Source organism: Homo sapiens, chromosome 9, assembly GCF_000001405.40.
Source record: "Homo sapiens chromosome 9, GRCh38.p14 Primary Assembly".
Lineage (NCBI taxonomy): Eukaryota > Metazoa > Chordata > Mammalia > Primates > Hominidae > Homo > Homo sapiens.
The window spans coordinates 88,910,953-88,930,737 of record NC_000009.12 but is presented as its reverse complement, the minus strand read 5'-3'; the positions used below and the strand labels follow the sequence as shown (position 1 = coordinate 88,930,737).

General features: G+C 40.9%; 1 long non-coding RNA gene across 1 annotated transcript in view; it reads right to left on the bottom strand.

Moving 5' to 3' along the window:
* Positions 1-2,553: 2,553 nt before the first annotated feature.
* The window catches only part of LOC124902205 (uncharacterized), a 75,065-nt gene continuing 57,833 nt past the window's right edge, over positions 2,554-19,785 (bottom strand). Inside the window, exon 4 of the long non-coding RNA XR_007061654.1 lies at positions 2,554-7,245. This is a non-coding gene — a long non-coding RNA (uncharacterized LOC124902205). The remainder of the gene's footprint in view (positions 7,246-19,785) is intronic.

Sequence of the window (19,785 nt, the reverse complement as noted above, 5' to 3'; positions counted from 1 at the left end):
CAAACTCCAAGTATGATAAACACAAAGTTATCTACACTGAGACACACATATCATAGTAAATATATTGAAAGACAAACGGGAAAGAGAAAATCTTCCAAGCAGCAAAAGAAAAATGAGTCATGATGTACAAAATTAATAGCTGACTTCTCAGCAGAAATAATGGTGGCCCAAATGTTGTGGGATAACGTACTCAAAATGCTGAAAGAAAAGATAAACAACTACCAAACCAGAATCTCATATCCAGCAAAAACTATCCATTAAGAGAGAAGGAGATTCCCAGATTTAAAAAAAAAAAAAACACAACTGAGAAAATGTATTGGTTGAAGACCAACCTCATAAGAAATACTAAAGGAAGTTCTTCAGGCTGAAAGGCACCACACAGTAATTTAAATCCACATGAAAAAACAGTGTGCCAGTAGAAGTAACTATACGAGTAATTTAAAAGATAGTAAAATGTGATATTTCTTCTCCTTCTTTCTCCTGACTGATTTGAGAAACAATTATATAAAATTATTCATCTATCTATCTGTATTTTGGGGCCTATAACACATGAAATAAAATATATTTGACAATGACAACAAAAATGAGGTGGTTGAATAAACTCTAAAAAATACTATACTTACTAATCTTTTTTCTCCAAACTTCTTTAAAAGATACAAAATTATATAAAGTAAAAATTATAGCAATATATTACTGGGTTTGTAACATCTATAGACATGATATGTATAACAATAATTGTACAGAAAAGGGAAGAGGCAATATACAAATCCCACTTTAATTATGTTTAGCAATACTTTAGAATTAATCTGAAATAATTATAATACATTGGTATGTATATTGTAAGCTCTAGAACAACAACTAATAAAATAACTTTTAAAAACAGTTAAAAATAATCAAAGAAATTAAAACGTTACACTACGAAATGTTCACTATATGCAAAGAAAGCAAAGAAAAAAAAAGCAGGACACCAGAAAACAAAAGTAAAATGACAGACATATTAAACAGCCAATTAAAGGCCAGCATTATCCAAATACTAAAACCATAAAAAGACACACAAAGAAAAAATTCTGCCGAGCAGTATCCGTTATGAACACAGATGTAGAACTTCTTAACAAAACACAAGCAAACTTAATTGGGCAACATATAAATGGTATTATTCCATGACCACGTGGGATTTATTCCAAGAATCCAAAGTTAGTTTAACCATTCAAAAGCAATTTGTGTAATGCAATATATTAATGGAATAAAAAAAAGTGACCACATCAATAGATGCAAGAAAAAATCACTGGACAAAATCCAAAACCTTTTCATAATAAAACCACTCAACAAACAAGAAAAAGAAGGGAACTTCCCCAACCTGATAAAGGCCATCAATGAAAAAGCCACAGCTAACATTATACTTAATAGTGAACACTGAATGATTCTCCCCTAACATCAGGAACAAGACAAAAATGCTATTATCACTTTTATTCAACCTTGTACTGGAAGTTCTAGCTAAGGCAATTATGAAGAAAATAGAAAGAAAAGCAGCCAGTTTGGAGAAGGGGCAAAACTACAATTCGCGGATGGCATGACATTGCATACAAAAATGTCCTAAGGAATCCACTATAAAAATCCATCATGAGAACTAATAAGTTCAGCAAGGTCTCAGAACACAAGATCAATGTACAAAGTCCATCATGTCTCTATACATTAGCAATGAATATTTTGAAAAAGAAATTAAAGGAAACAATTTTCAATAGCATCAAAAGAATAAGAGACATAGGAATAAATTCAATAAAAAAGTGCAAAACTTTTATACTGAAACTATAAAATATTGTTGAAAGTAATTACAGTAGATCTAAATATATAGGAAGCTACTCCATGTTCATGGTTTATGAGAGTTAATATTGGCAAGATTGTCATGCTCCCCCAAATCATCTACAAATTCAATGCAATCTATATCAAAATCTCAGTTGGCTTTTTTGGCAGAAATTGACAAGCTGATCTTATAATTTGTGCAGAAATGCAAGGAACTCAGAATAGCCTAAACAATCTTGATAGTAAAAAACTAAGTTGAAGAACTTACACTCTAATTTCAAAACTTACTACAAAGCTGTAGTAATCAAGACTGTGTGGCACAGGTGTAAGGATAAACATATGTATCAATGGAATAGAATTGAGAGTTAAAAATAAATCTTTACATTTACAGTCAACTTATTTTTACAAGGGTACAAAGACAATTCAATGGGAGAAAACACTGTCTTTTCAGAAAATGGTACTAGGAAAAATGAATATCAACTGCAAAAAAAAATGAAGTTGGTCTCCTACCTCACACAATACACAAAAGCAAACTGAAAATGGATCATCTATCTAAATGTAAGTGCTAAGTCTATAAAACTATTACAAGAAAGTATAGCAGTAAATCTTCATGACGTTGGGTGAGGCAATAGTTTCTCAACTATTAACAATAGTTAACTGTTAATAATAGTTAACAATGACACCAAAAACATAGGTTACAAAAGAAAAAAAAACAGATAAATAAGACTTTATCAAAACTAAAAACTTTGTGCTGCCAAAGATGCATCAAGAAAGTGAAAAGAATGGGTGAAAGCATTTGCAAATCATGTATCTAACAAGGAACTTGTTTTTAGAATATATAAAGAGTTCTTACAACTCAATATTAAAAAGATAAATGACCCAATTTAAAAATGAGCAAATGATTTGAACAAATATTTCTCCAAAGGAGATAGACAAATGTTCACCAACTTATACATTAATAAATAAAATGTATTATACTATACACATTTTATGTATGTAATATTATTCATCCATAAAAAAGGAATGAAGCCATAATACATGCTACAACATGGATGAACCTTGAAAACAATATGGTAAGTGAAAGTATGTAGTCACTAAAGACCTCATATTATATGATTCCATTAATATAAAATGTCCAAAATAGACAAGTCTATGGTGACAGAAACTAGGTTTGTGGTTACTTAGGGCTGGGCAGGAAAGAAAGCGAAATATGGAGTCAGCTAATGAGGACTGGGGTTCTTTTAAGAGAAGTGAAAGTGTTCTAAAATTAGATAGTGTTGACGATTTCATAACTCTGTGAATATATTACACTATAGTATGTTGGATTGTATACTTTTAATGGGTGAATCGTATGTGTGTAAAATACAGCTATTTTTTAAACACACCCACTCACACAACTACCCATCTATTATCTCATGGTATCCAGGAGTCAGAAGTCTGGGCATGGCTCACCTGAGTCCTCTGCCAAGGAACTTGCAAGGTTGGGGTCCAATCAGGCCATGTCCTTATCTGAAACTTGGGGTTCCCTTCCAAGCTCTCTGGCTGCTGGCAGAATGTGGCTCTTTGTGATAGCAGGATTGAAGCCCAAGGCCTTCTGCATTTCCCAGCCACCCCACATGGCCCTGTCCTTGGTTACAAGATGGCATTTGCTTCCTCAAGGGCCACGACAGTGTCTCCCTGTGTACGCAGCAAGACAAAACCTTGTACGGTATATACACATACAGCAACTTCATCTCGCAAGGGACAGCCCATCACCTTGCCAGATCCCATTGGGAGGGTCACAGGTCCTTCCCACACTCAAGGGGAGGCAATCACATGGGGGAACACACCAGTGGGAGACCCCAGGAGCCATCCGGAATTCTGCCTAGCCCCCATCTCTCTCTCTCCCCTTACAGTTGTTCATTCTGCAGAGAATTTTTTTTCTTGAGTTGAGCAACTTATTTTTAAAGCTGATTTTCTGCCAGAAACTTCTTAAAGGAGCCAATTTCTCTTTTTCTCTCTTGTTCCTCTCTCTTTCCTCATTAAGCTCTCCCTCTCAACATTTTAAGCCCTTCAGAATAAGGTACACTAGTTTTAAACAGGTATGGCACAATCTCTTTATAACAGCTCATTGAGAATTTATAGAATTTTCAGCATTTTAGAGCAGAGGTAGCCTGCTGAGAGACCTGTGTGTTTAAAATTCTAATAGTCTTGGGGGAAATAAGACTCCCTCAAAACATTTCCCATCGTATGCTCCTGTAAAAAGTTCCCCCACAACCTCTTAAAGACTTCTTGCAGTTAATTTGGAAAAGTTATCTCATGGATTATTTCGTGTGTATGAAGACCTGAAATGATGGTGTGAGTTTCAGGGGACTCACAGACAGTCTTCATTCTGTACCATTCCTCACCTCAACTGCTGACACGCAGCTTGCAGACCCACCCCACAGCTCCTGTCCAGGCTCAGTGGCCATACTCTCTACACACCCCTGTCCCCCAGGAGACAGGACTGAGGCAGACACACTCTGAAGCAATGGTTTTCATCGTCTCTGCCTGCTTGATGGTTTTCATTTTATTTATTTATTTTTTTTTTTGAGAATGAGCTTAGGCAGTCCTCAAATGAGGGGCCCACAGATGCTATGGATTTGACCTGCATAGATAGTGTTTGGTAGGGGTAAGAACAAAAGAAAACGCCCCTCAGAAACTCTGAAATCCAGTGCCACCTGTGTGACAGATAGCAGACCCAGGGCCAGTGAAACTGCCCTCTGTGGAATGCAAGCATGCGGGTGACTTCTCTTGTTCCTGGACACCTGGCCCATGACCACACTGTTCACAGCAGGGCTCTTTCCTCCTCTGCCCAGGAAAGATGCTGGGAAAGGCTGTGGGGTTGATTTACAATGTTTCCAGGAGTACTGCTGTCACCAGGAAGCCATGGCCTTTGGCAGCGTGGCCCTGCAGGGTGTGAGGGGCATCTGGGCAGCAGGCGGGTTGGTGCTGCCAGGGAGTGTCCCCTGCACAGTCCACTTGCCTCCAGCCAAGGGGAGAGCTGATCTATTGGGAGCAAGAGAAACAGAGTTGGGGGGCACGTGAGGAAGTAGTCCATACGTCGGGACATGAGTGTTGGTCAGTCATAGGGAGGTTCTGGAAGATTTGGGGTTTGTTAATGATGATCCAGTCTTCCCAGGAAGGGTATGAGATGGGGATTGAGGCCATTAGTCAGATTAATGTTTCCCAAGAGAAGAACAGGCTTGTTAGTTTTGGGACACAGATGGAGGAAGGGCTGGGGGATATTTGTGGTCTGCTGAGAATGAATCGCTTGCCCAAATGACTCTGAACTGCCGAATCATCTCCCTGAAAGGATTCTCCAGTGAGAGTAACCCCCTTGCTGTTCCAGTCAAATGCCTTTGAAAATATTTCTAAAGTGCATTATTCCAAAGGCTACTTAAAGTTATGTATCTTAAGGGTTTCAAATAATTCTATTGACCAAGATGCTATTGATCTTGACAAGAATTGGCTTAAATCTGAAATAAAAATAAAAGCTGGCTTGTTGAAGACCTGAATGAGGCTCTCTCTCCTGCATGAAGGCAGGCAGTGGGTGCCACTGGCCAGGAAGGGGTGGAGAGTATGCTACCAGTGCCATCTACCAGAGCCCAGGGGCGGAGGCCCGCTTTTGGGGGTTTATGAGATCACTGGGCTTGGGACCCTGGTCGGCCCCTGATGTGGAGTCCACCTGGCGTTTACTGCCTCTGTGTCCTTCGAGTTTGAGTTCACCCATGAATGAAATGACATGTATGAACATTCTTCATAAACTAAAATACTTGTGGGCTCTCATACTCAAAAAACCTGTGGAGCATTCCCCACGCTGACCATCAGTCATGGAAGGAGTGTGCAGCCTATCAGAGACACAAGCTCCTGCGCCACACGTTATGACCTTTCCCCCAGGAGACAGCCCGAATGAGTCCTTTCCATTTGCCCAATAATGGAGTGAAGGGCCTGTGAGGCAGCCTGACCCTCCAGGCTGGTGATGGCAGCTACTCAGCTGTGGAGCTGGTTGCAACTGCTCATTCTTCTACAGCAGGAGTCCCCAACCCCCAGCTACAGACCAGGATTGTCTGGGGCCTGTTAGGAAGCAGGTCACACAGCAAGAGGTGAGCATTGGGCAAGCAAGCATTACCACCTGAGCTTTGCCTCCTGTCAGATCAGCAGCAGCAAAAGATTTTCATAGGAGCATGAACCCTATTGTGAACTGTGCATGCGAGGGATCTAGGTTGTGTGCTCCTTATGAGAATCTAACTATTGCCTGATGATCCAAGGTGGAACAGTTCCATCCTAAAATCATCCCCACTACTCCCACCGGCTGTGGAAAAATTGTCTTCCATGAAACCGGTCCCTGCTGCCAAAAAAGTTGGGGACCACTGTCCTACAGTACTTTCTCTGAATTTCAGATTCATCCTTTCTAGTTCTTGTTTCTGACCAAAAAAGGCCCAGACACCCCGCTAAGTAACCATCATCAGCTTTTAACATGTGTTTCCAGGGTATCAGCATATGATACCCTGGAAATAACTCTTAGGGATTTGTGCAAGACTAGCATGGGAAGCTCCTCGGAGGTCATGTGTGTGACCCCCCAGAGGTTGCGTGTGTGGCTCCCAGCCCCAAGTCCCCCCGACCCCCACCCCAGAGGCCGTGTGTGTGCCTGCCTGGAGCACAGGCTCTGGGTTCATTCCTCTGCAGCTCCAGCTGGCCCGTCCTGGGCAAGTAGATTAACCACTCTTGGCTGTCTAAACAGAGAACATGTGCTGTGCTTATTCCTGGTCTTGTTGAAAGCCATTTTTTTCACAATCAGTCAAGTGGCTTCTGACTATGACTTGGCTTCCCGTGTAGCATAGCCACGGAAACCCATGTGAGTGGCCCAGTGAGCTCCAGGTAGGTGCTTCAGTCTTAGGAGCATTGAGGAAGGGGGACCTTTTCAGAGACTGAGTCTGGACCCTGGCAAGGGTTGACCCAACTGTCTGAAGGCAGCATAGACACGGCTGGCCCTTGGTATAGCCATGTCATTTCCTGTCTGATTGCCACATCCACTGGTGACACTGTGCACTCAGACGATGGCCTCATCGGCCACCCGCAGGCACAGTGAAGCCACAGTGCCGGAGGCTGGCCTTCAATATAGCCATGTCATTTCCTGTCTGATTGCCACACGCATTGGTGGCACCATGCACTCAAGATGATGGCTTCGTCGGCCACCCACAGGCACAGTGAAGCCACAGAGCCAGAGTCGCTGCAGCCCCCGCTGCACCATTGACAAGCCAGGACTCACACGGTCAACTCCTCGGGCCTAGAAAACAGCAGAAAGGGAAAGACATATGGAGCACATCCTGGCCTTGGTCTGTGATCAATGGGGACGTCCAGCCGCAGAGATGTAGGGCTGCAGTGAGGTTCCTGAGGGTGAAGAAGTCTGTTCTCTGCAGACAGCTGAGGAGAGAAAAGCAGAAAGTGGTGAAGTATCTGAAGGAGAAGAGGAGAGGAGCATGCCTGCTTCGAGCTCTGTGTGAGCAGATGAGGAACACACTTAAACACATGCCTGGGAACACCTGGAGGAAAAATGGCTTCATCAACCAGAGTCTTGCAGGTGAAGTGTTCTCTCTCATCCTGTGTGCTATGAAGCTGGGGTGGCACCAATGAGCCTGAAAGCTACAGTGCAGAAAAGGCAAGGGTTCAGAACTCAGGCTGCTGTGGTCCCCAAGATTAGCAACTGTGGTCAGCAGTGGGTGATGCCATGTGTACGACTATGTCTTAAAACCACCTTCAGACCAGAGATCCCACACTTCCTAATTTCCTAAAATTCTGTCACTGCATGGACCACATGTAGACAGGTATATAAGCATTTATAATCCAACGAGGGAGAGCACACTAAAAGACTGAAAAAAAAGAGAGAGAGAGAGAAAGAGAAAAGACCCATCCTGCTCTGAATTTTAGTGGGTGTTTTGTTGGAAGAAAGTGAAAATAAGAATAGACAGAAAAGGCAAAGGTAAGAAACCTAGAAAATAAAAAAAAATCTGAAAATCAGAGAAAGTTAAAAACATAAAGCAAAACCACACAGGAGAAAGAAGAAGAAAAGGGGAATAACCAAAGCAAATGAGAATATCTGAGAGACAAGAAAATCCTTTAGGCACAGCTAAAAATAGAAAAAGTAGCTCTTTTTATACATCTTCATTTAGGAGATTATCTGAACACTGAGATTTGAGGCATCTGACTTTGAGGTATCATGTGTACATAAAAGTAATCAAATGAGCCATTTAAGCATGTTTCCTTGAAATAAAATGTTAGTTTTCAGTTCTTCCTTTGAGTTGACGAAAGATATGCATTCTCATAGAGCCCCACTTTATTATTTTAGTATAAGATTGGAAAAAGCATATTATATGTTTAGTAAATTGGATTCAAATGAGACAATGTATCAGAAAATGGAATTTTTAATTTGGTTTTAAAATGTTCCTATTTAAGAGATGGTCAAACAGGTGTGAGACAGAAGAAAAGAACATCAAAGCGGGTGGGGCCAACGAACCCTCACGTCTCTGCAGATGGAAACAAGGCCGTGGTTATTGCGGTCTCACGTGCTGTGCATCTTCAGGGCTCTCGCTTGTGAACTTTCTGGCCTATAACATTGCAGCTAAACCTCAAAGATCAAGGCTCAGGCACTGTGTTTGCCTGGAGGTCGTTTACTGCTTCCACCCAGTCAGCTCTTGTGGTTCATTAGTTTTGCTGCAGCAGCGGAGAGGGAAGGAGTTTGACTGTGCAAATGGTGCCCGCAGAGCCTCCAGGCACACACAGGGCAGATCCTTTCTAGAATTTTTTATAGCTTGCATCATTCAATAGCTCCAGGCTGTCCCCAAGCCCCATCTTTCGGGTTTGATGGGTTGAATTGTGTCCTTTCAGAATTCATAGGCTGAAGTCCTAACCTGTATCCACACCCTTCTTCCTTTCACTTGTGTGTGTATCATTTTCTGGATATTTGTAAATGTTTAGGCTCCTAGGCCCTCCCCATGCCCACTAATCCCTAGCTGGCCCCTCAAACAGGTGGCAGATGCTGTTACAATGCCCATTGTGCTTAGTACATCGGTGGGCCTGGATGATCTGAGGCCATCAGTCCGTGGTCACTTTGGGGGTTCAATGTTAACTTTGGTGCTGAAAACACAGTTTGCAGACCTTCAGCACAGGGATCGCCCGGGAGCCTTTTAGATATGCAGAATCTTAGGTCCCACCCCAGACCCACTGAATAAGACTCTGCATTTTAACAAGATGCTGGAGTATTTCACATGCACTGTCCTTAGACCATGTGAGGGACTAAGTTCCTAAGCAGCCAGTCTCCTATTATGCCACCCAAAGGAGAACTCTTTGCTCTAATAAAGCAACTGAATTCCACAGAATCTCTAGAGTCTTGAGGCTATTTTCTTCCTATTAAAAACTATTATCAAATTTTGATCCTTACATTATCACCCTCCTCTGCATCATCATTTTCTGATTCATACAAATAAACTTTGCAGTGGAGTAGACCCTACAGTTGGGAAGTTGGCTCCAGCACATCTGCTAAGAATTTGCTGGGAATGTATACCTTCCCAATAACATTCCTCTTTTGCTGCTGATGAAAGTTCTACACCTTTCAGATGTGTGTGTGTGTGTGTGTGTGTGTGTGTGTGTGTGTAGAAGGTTAATTGATGCTTTTTAAAAATGTGGCCCATTTGAAGCTTTGAAAAGACATGCTCCTTTTCCCACTAAAGTGATGGCCAACCTATCTCTGCCATCTCAGAGACTGGCTCCCTGTGACACTTGCAGAATTATTCCACTGTGTCCCTCCTTCTGCCAGACACAACCAGCCACCTTTCCCTCTTGAATCTTTGGACTTACCTTCCAGTGGCTGAAAGGGCCAAGCTTACGTGTGTTCCTAGGAACAGTCTGCCTACAAGTTATCACCTCCATACCCCAAGAATGAGCATCTGCTCCTTAAGCTCCCCCATCCAAGACACTGGAAATTTCTTCAATGCAGGGAAAAACATTTTACTTCATTATTAGGAGATGGACTTGAAATCAAGGTAGACCTGTGGTACACTGACAGGCCCCACCAGGTGGAGGTAATGAGATGCTGGAAAGCAGGGCTGGGTCTTTGGAAACAGGAATACCAGGATATGGGGCCTCCAGCAATGCATGAGGAGGTGAAGCTAAGGGTGTCAAGTTCAGCCTCACCAATTTCTTAACTGTACTGGAGCATTTTGGACTGTTCTAACATGGGATTTCTCTTTGTCAGTTAGGAGAGGAGTGGCCCTCTTCTCAGCAATGCCTTCCTGTCAGGGTGGTCTATTCATGAGTCACAGCCTTAAGTGAGGTCAGGTCACTTGCTGGCCCTTCATCCTCCACATAGGACTTTGGCAGACCCTTATCCCTTCCCAGCCCAGGTTTCTTGATCAATGGTACACATGATCACACCTGCCATGGGGTTTATAACTGGTAGAACAACTCTGATGAAAATGTCTGGACTTTTCAAAACACACCAGCTTTATTCCAGGATGGCCCCAGAATTTCCCAGAGATCCAAACAGAATCCTGGAAATCTGTTAAGCTTTGGATGCCCAGGACTGCACAGGTTTCTTAGTAGCATGAGAACAAGGAGAGCATGGTTCATGAGGTGAAAAAAATGCAAGAAATAAGGCTTAGAAATAAAAATAATGCAAGCAACCATTTCTGAAAGACTAGATGTACTCTGGAGATGGCCTGCTCTGTACAAACACATTCATAAAGTATTGCAGAACTTGGCAGTGGGTGCCATCTATGAAGCTCCTGAGTGTCAGTCTTTTCCTCTATATAATGGGGATATTAACATCACTTGGATTTAATGATTTGGTGCCACCACCAACACTGATATGATTTGCTGTGTCCCCACCCAAATCTCATCTAGAATTTTAGCTTCCACAATTCCCACATGTTGTGGGAGGGACCCAGTAAGAGGTAACTGAATCATGGGGGTAAGTTTTTCCTGTGTTGTTCTTGTGATAGTGAATAAGTTTCACAAGATTTGATGGTTTTATAAGGGGAGATATCTCTGCACAAGCTCTCTCTCTTTGCTTGCTGCCATCCATGAAAGACATGACTTGCTCCTCCTTGCCATCCACCATGATTGTGAGTCCTCCCCAGCCACAAGGAACTGTGGGTCCATTAAACCTCTTTCTTTTGTAAATTGCCCAGTCTCAGGTATGTCTTTATCAGCAGCATGAAAACGGACTAATACAGTAAATTGGTACCAGTAGACCAGGGTGCTGCTAAAAAGATACCCAAAAATGTGGAAGCAACTTTGTAACTGGGTAACAGGCAGAGATTGGAACAGTTTGGAGGGCTCAGAAGAAGACAGGAAAATGTGGGAAAGTTTGGAACTTCCTAGACACTTGTTGAATGGTTTTGACAAAAATGCTGATAATGATGTGGACAATGAAATCCAGGCTGAGGTGGTCTTAGATGGAGATAAGGAACTTGTTGGGAACTGGAGTAAAGATGACTCTTGTTATGTTTTAGCAAAGTGACTGGAGGTATTTTGCCCCTGCCCTAGAGATTTGTGGAACTTTGAACTTGAGAAAGATGATTTAGGGAATCTGGCAGAAGAAATTTCTAAGCAACAAAGCACTCAAGAGGTGACTTGAGTGCTGTTAAAGGCACTCAGTTTTATAAGGGAAGCAGAGCATAAAAGTTTGGAAAAATTGCAGCCTGACAATGTGTAGAAAAGGAAATCCCATTTTCTGAGGACAAATTTAAGCTGGCTGCAGAAATTTGGGTAAATAATGAGAGGCTGAATATTAATCCCCAAGACAATGGGGAAAATGTTTCCAGGGCATGTCAGAGGGCTTCACAGCAGCCCCTCCTATCACAGGCCTAGAGGACTAGGAGGAAAAAGTGGTTTAATGGGCTGGGACCAGGGTGCCCTTGCTCTGTGCAGCCTAGGGACTAGGTGCCCTGCATCTCACTCACTCCAGCCATGGCTAGAAGGGCCCAAGGTATAACTCAGGCCATTGCTTCAGAGGGTGCAAGCCCCAAGCCTTGGCAGCTTCCACATGGCATTGAGCCTGTGAGTGCATGGAAGTCAAGAATTGAGGTTTGGGAACCTCCACCCAGATTTCAGATGATGAATGGAAACACCTGGATGCCCTGGCAGAAGTTTGCTGCAGGGGTGGGGCCCTCATGGAGAACCTCTGCTAGGGCAGTACAGAAAGGAAATGTGGGGTCACAGCTCCCACACAGAGTCCCTACTGGGGCACTGCCTAGTGGAGCTTTGAGACGAGGGCCACTATCCTTCAGTCCCCAGAATGGTAGCTCCACCAACAGCTTGCACCATGCACCTGGAAAAGCTGCAAACACTCAACACCATCCCATGAAAGCAGCCAGGAGGGAGATATATACCCTGCAAAGCCACAGGGCAGAGCTTCCTAAGACCATGGGAACACACCTCTTGCATCAACATGACCTGGATGTGAGACATGGAGTCAAAGGAAATTATTTTGGAGCTCTAAGATTTGACTGCACCACTGGATTTTTGGGTGGGTGTCTCCCTCTCTCTGTGCAGTCCTGGCTTCTTCCTCTAGATGAATCTTCTCTTCATTGTCTCTCTGCAGGGTGTCTCCACCAGGGAGCTGTGCTTTATACAGCATGGTTCAGGGACCCCCAAAAGCACATGGCTTGGGCTGCCAGGTCTTCCTAGGGTTTATTCTGGAAGTAGCACTACATTATTTCTGCCACCTTCCATTGAAAACAGGTCCCAAGCCCAGCCCAGATTCAAAGAGAGGGGATCACCCAAAGGCTCGGATCCTGAGAGGGGTGGCCATTGGGGACATGAGGCTACTCCTACTCATATCTTCACTTCCATCTTTGTACCCCATTGGAGTCAACACAGAGCAGGGTGAGCGTTGTTCATGAAGGAGGGAGGGGTGAGTGACCCATAACCAATCTAGTATTGTGTGTGTGTCAGTCCCAGCCTCTGCCTCCCAATGTACTGGGTTTCAAAGGCTTGTTTCCAAGTTTGTTGTTTGGAGCTTGGGTCCCATCTCATTGAAGACATAATTGTCCCTGTGGTTGCTTTCCTAGGCTGGCCACACAGATGGTTACTGGGAGAACTGTACTACCATTCCCACATCTGATGTGAGGTGGGAAAAAAAGTTTGTGGGTGGGTCTGGAAGCTGACTGCCTCTTTTCAGCATTGATCGTATGGGAAGATGGTTCTGGGTTTGTCTGTGTAGGAGCACCTGCGGCTCACCTTCTGGAGTGGTGGGCCCCAAGCTCTGTGGCCTCCCCTGCCTCCACAGCCCTGTTCCTTGCTGTGTCATGGGCCTGGTGGCAGCAGGCTTGGGCTGGAAGTGTGCCTCTGCCACTCATTCCCTGGGCAACCTTTGATCCCTGCGTTCTGTGTCTACACAGAGGGGAAAGAACAAGAAAACACACAGTAAGTGCCAGCTCCTGTATGCTTCCACCCTCAGCCTCCTTCTCACCACATCAGGCTCTAGGCTCCTGGGGCAAAGACTTGGGTGCCCTTGGGGTCTCCACTGTGCCAAGTTTCTGTTTGTTGAAATACCTCGAGATTGAGTTTAAAATTTGGCATTACTTTGAACTTTAATTGACCAGTGGAGTCAGTTTGAATGTCCAAGGCTTTTTCTCCAGATGCTCAATGATTTTAGGGCTTTCTTTAAGGCAACCTTGTCCAACTTGCTTTATTTTGTTGTTGTTCTGTTCTGTTTTGTTTTAGGCTTTTAGCAGTATGAAGCCATGGTTTTTAGTTTCTGTCTCTAGTGATAAGTGGAAAAGAGGGACGAGGAAGGGGCTTTACCAGCCCAATCAGAAACAGAAACTAAGAACCCATGACTGTGTTCTCTCCCTTGGACACCCTGGCAGGGAGTGGAAATTATTGAACACTAAGGTAAGCTACAGCTTTTTATATTAAAATCACTTATACATATGCAAAAAAGCAATAACATGTACACTATTATACACACTCCCACAGCAGAGCTTATGTGGAGATATGATGTGTTTTTGTATCTACATTTTGTTACTTTTCTATAAGGAATATGTATTAATCTATTATGTCATTTTATTTTAGATAAATGGAGATCACTATAGCCTTGAGACTAAATTTTACTTGCAGAAGAATGCGGAGAACCTCTTCCAAACAGCTTTAGGAAAAGGGAGAGCTCCTCCCTCCTTCCATTATCCACCAGCCTGTGCACCTGGGAGGAACTTTACCACCTGCAAGGTGACACCTCCCCACCCGTCTACTCTGGAAATTACAATATCTACATTATCAATCCTAAATGATTGTTGTGTGTCTCAGAAGAGATCTTATATACCAAAGTATAAGCTATCTTGGGTAAGCAAAAGAGCAAGAAGTAGATTATCCCCTGCAAAATGGGGAGATGCAGGCCTTCAGAGTAAAGCAAAACTGCCTTCCAGAGAACAAGGGAAGGGTTTGGGTTTCATAGCAAAAAAGGGTTCCACCCAGGTTCCCAGTCGGATCTGTTTATGCAAGTGAAGGATTGAAACTTGCTTAGTTCTGATTGGTGGATTGCAGCTGAGTTTGATTGGTGAATTGCAGGTAAGTTCTGATCGGTTGGTTCAGATGAGTCCTGAAAGTCCCAAAGGGGAACTGCAGTGTGGGTTTTGGGGAAATTCAGAGTACCTCTAATCAGGAAATGGCTACTATTTTAAATCTAGGCCTATTAGCCACTCCAGATCCACCACAAAGGACTCCTCAGGTTCACATTTGTTTACACAGCCTAACCTGAAAAAAACAATCTGGAGTGACAGAAGCTACCTTATTATCTGCCAGCTGACCTACTCCTTGCAGAGAAATCATATTGCACAGATGGCCTCAGAGTCCACCCACCTCTAACATTTGCCAGGTTCACCAGTGAAGTTCAAAAAGAAAGTATGATTATCCCCAATTTAATGAGGAAACCGGTCTGCCCAGAAAACACATCTCATGCCTCCCAGCTCTGTCGGTGTCTCAGCTTGGAAGTAAATACTATAGCAAACTGTTTAACACTATCAAAAATATCCTCCTCTGATAAAAGCTAGTTCAGCTGCTCTTCTGCAGTGAAAAGAGCCCAGGTTCTTTGCCAGGGCCCAAGGGTGCTGAGTCCAGGGGCATTTGCCTGAGACCTGAGCTCTGTGGAATTCAGAGCCCACACCAGGGTGAGCCCAGAATGCGTCCCCTGGGCAGGTTGCCAGGTGGAATCTCTAAGCTCCCACACATGTAGCAGCCAAAAACAGTGTCAGTCCCGGACCCCCAACTCCATGACCAGTTTCCAAGGCTACAGTGATTTATCTCCCATAATAAACCTGAAATACTAGGAATTAGTCCATAGCCAGACTGGTTAAAAGTTGTTTTAAAATAGCTAAAATCAGATTAGAAAAATCTAGTTCTCTTTCCTTGGAAAACATTCCAATCGGATGGAGAGCCCAATAGAGTAATTACAGAAGTCAGAGTACCACGTGGTGCCTTGAATCTTGAGAAAATGAGAAAGTGAGGCAATAGGTCCCAGGCCTCCTTTATTTCTACCTGGGAAGCTACAAAATTGTTTAAAATGTGAGAAATCTCTGAGACCCCATTGGAACAAAAATAACTCTACGTCCCATAAATAATTGAAACCAGATATTTACTTTTCTAGAGCAGGTGGGAGGAAATAGATGTAGAGAAGTCAGCAAAAGAAAGAAAAGGTTCTTTTTGGAAAGTGGACAAATAGGAGATGAATGTCCTGAATCATTTTATTGCTGGTAATAATGCCTTGGGTTTATAGGGTGGCTTTCTTCTGCAGATCTAAAGACATTTTTTATACCTACTATTTTGCTTCTGTTCATGGCAACCTGAAAAACAAGACACGGTTGTAAAATAAACATCAGATGTGGAAATCCTGCTGAAGAAAAAGACAAAAAGGCCGGAGAACCCTCACAGAGCTGCATGCCCACAGGAAAAGGAGCACCCTCTCCTCACTCACTCCACAGTGCGCAGAGGGCAGAAGTTGAGGAGGCAAATATCTCAGCTGCAGCTCCTAGTTTCTACAGAGGCTCAAACCCCTCACCAGACCAAGCCGCTTTCTGTTTCCATCAGAGGAAGCCAGAGAGCAGGGGTAACAGGTATAGGGGTACTTTTTATTTCTAAACATCTTTTTTTATTTCTTTTTATTAATAGGCTTTATTTTTTAGAGCAGTTTTAGGTTCACAGCAAAATTGAGAGGAAGGCACAAAGAGTTCTCATATACTCCCCACCCCCTCAACCATATGCACAGCCTCCCCCACTATCAACATCCCACTCCAGAGTGGCCCTTTTGTTACAGGTGATGAACATGCAAACATCACTATTAACCCAAGGCCATAGATGACATTAGGGTTCACTCTTGGCGCTGTATAGTCCATGGGTTTGGACAAATGTACAATGACGTGAATCTACCATTACAGTATCATACAGAGTAGTTTCACTGCCCTTAAAATCCTCAGTGCTCCATCTACTTATCCCTCTCTCCCTTCCCCCATTCCTTAGCAACCACTGCCTTTTTACTGTCTCCCTAGTTTCACATTTTCCAGAATGTCCTATAGTTTGAATCACACAGCATGGAGTCATCATTTTACCTATGGATGCACAATTGTTGCAGTATCATTTAATGAAAAGGCTATTATTTCTCCATCAAGTTGCCTTTGAAACTTGGTCAAAAATTAGATGTTCATATAGTGTGGCTTTATTTGTGGACTTTCTACTACACTCCATTAATTGTTTTGCCTGTATTTTCACCAAAACAACACTATCTTGATTACTGTAGGCTTTTCATAGATCTAGTAATAAGATAATATTCATTCTCCAAATTTGTTTTTATTTTTTTAAGTTGTTTTGACTATTGTAGGCACTTTGAATTTCTGTATGAATTTTGTAAATTCTAGATTTAGTTATCAAATTTTTTTAAAAGCCTACTGGAATTTCTATTTGGATTGCACTGATCCTATAGATCAATTTGTGGAGAACTGACATCTTAACAATATTGAGTCTTCCAACTTATGAACATAGTATATTTTTTCCTCCATTTAGATCTTTACTTGTTATCAACACCATTTTACGGTTTTCAGTACACAGATGTTTTACTCCTTTGAAGCAGACTAATTCCTAGGTATCTTATTTTTATGCTAAAGTAAATGTTATTTAATTTTCAATTTCTAATAGTTTGTTGTGAGTACATAGACATACTATTGATTTCTGTATATTAATCTTCTATACTGGAAACTTGCTAACCTCACCTGTTAGTTGTATTAGCTTTCTTTGTAGATTCCATTTCATTTCTACAAAGATGATCATGTCATATGCAAATAAAAGGTTCTACTTTTTCCTTTCCAATATAAATGCCTTTAATTTCCTTCTTTTGCCTGATTGTACTTGTGAGAACCTCCTCCAGGTTGAATAGAAATGTGTTTTTTCTAATCTTCAGGAGGAAAGCATTTTGTCATTTACCACTGAGTATGATGTCATCTGTGGGTTTTTGGTAGATGCCCTTCTGGTCCTTGTTTGATGAGAGCTTTTATGTCAAGTATATGTTGAATATTATCAAATACATGTTTGTGTCTATTAAGGAGATGATACAAGTTTTTCTTTTTTAGTTTCTTAATAGGATGAATTATAGTGATTAAGATCTTAAAGTTAAGCCAACCTTACACACTTGTGGTAAACCCCACTTGGTCACAATATCTACTGCTTTTGATATACTGTCAGCTAGAATACAAAAATTTTGTTTAGATTTTTTTGCATTTATGTTCATGAGAGATATTAGTCTCCACTTTTTTTGTCTAATAAATTTGTCAGGATCCGGGGTCTGAGTAATGCTGGCCTCAGAAAGTGTTGGAAAGGATATCCTCCTTTTTAATTTTCTGGAAGAATTTTTGTAGACTCAGAACTCATTCTCTCTTTAATGTTTCGTAGAACATACTAGTGAAGCTACCTGGGAATGGAGGTTGTGTGTGTGAGAAGATTTTTAATTACAAATTCAATTTATTTAATTTAGAGTTATTCAGATCATCAATTTCTTCTTCAGTAAGCATTTGTAGTTTGTGGTTTTTCAAAGGCTTTGTACATTTCATTGATGTTGACAAATTAATTCACATAGAACTGTTCATAATATTATCTTATTTTCCTACCATTATCTTTTGATTCTGATGCCACTTTGCTTTTCTGATTTTGGTGATTTATGATTTATTTTCTGATCAATCTTGCTAAATGTCTATCAATTTTATTGATCTTAAAGAAACAGCTTTTGGCTTTATTGATTTTTTCTATTGTCTTTCTGCTTTCTATTTTATTAACCTCCATTCTGACCATTTTTACTTCCTTTCTTATACTTACCTTGTGTTTAAGTTGATCTTTTTTTTTTTTTTTTTTTGTACTGTTAAGGTGGAAGCTGAGGTCTTAACATTTGAGAACTTCATTTTCTAATATCAATGTTTTGTGCTCCAAATTTCCCCCAAATGCTTTAGTGATAATCTAATAAATTTTTATTTGTTATGTTTTAATTTTCGTTCACTTTAAAACAGTGCCTAATTTCCCTTCTAATTTCTTCTTTGACTAATGGCTTATTTAGAAATGTGTTGTTTAGTTTCCATGTTTGAGGGATTTTCTAGAGATTTTTCTGTTACTAATTTTTAATGTAATTTCATTGTGAGTAGAGCACAAACTTTGTATGACTTGGAATATTGTATACTTTTTGAGGCTGGTTTAATGGCACCAAATTTGAGTTATCTTGGTAAATATTATGTGTACAGTTGAAAATAATGTACACTATGTTATTATTGGGTGGAGTGTTCTATAAATATCAACTAAGTCAAATTAGTTAATGGTGTTTAAATACTCTATTCCTTACTGAGTTTTTGTTCACCTGTTTTATCAATTATTGAGAGAGGGTTACTAAATTCTCTGTCTATAACTATACAATTATATATTTTTCCTTGCAGTTATATCAGTTTTTGCTTCAATTGTTTTGTTTTTGTTGATATTTAGGATTGTTATTTCCTCTTGATAAATTAATCTTTTTGTCATGAAATCTCTTTATCTATTTCTGCTTATTTCCTTTGTTTAAAGTCTAATTTGTCTGATATTAATGTAGTAGCTCCAGCTTTATTTGATTAATGTTAACATGTATTTCCTAATTATGTATTTTCTATGGCCAGCATATAGTTGGGTCTTGCTTTTGCAACCAATTAGACAATCTCTGCCTTTTTATTTGAAGTATTTAGACTATTTACTTTCATGTGATTATTAATATGGTTGTTGATATGAATATGATCATCTTGGTATTTATTTTCTGTTTGCCCCTTTGTTCTTTTTTCCCTTTTCTCTTATTTTTTAAACCATCTTTTGGATTAATATATTAATTTTGACTATTATAATTCTTTAACCGTAATTATTTGCTAAATGTTCATTTTATGTCCCTTGTTGGCTTTTGTTTTGTTTTGTTATTCTAGTGGTTGCTATAATTTTTATATACATCTTTTAGGTGCTATTATACCACTTCCATATCATATGAGAACCTAAAAATAGTATATTTATATTTTTCTTCTCCCCAACTTTGTTCTATTATTGTCATATATTTTACTTTTACATACACTGAAGACACCACAGAACATTGTTATTATTTCTGTTTAAACAGTTAATTATCTTTTAAATATATTTAAATAATAAGAACAAAACCTGAGACGATGGGGTTTTCTAAATATACAATCATGTCATCTGCAAACAGGGACAATTTGACTTCCTCTTTTCCTAATTGAATACCCTTTATTTCTTTCTCCTGCCTGATAGCCCTGGCCAGAATTTCCAACACTATGTTGAATAGGAGTGGTGAGAGAGGGCATCCCTGTCTTGTGCCAGTTTTCAAAGGGAATGCTTCCAGTTTTTGCCCATTCAGTATATCAGCTGAGGGTTTGTCATAAATAACTCTTATTATTTTAAGATACATCC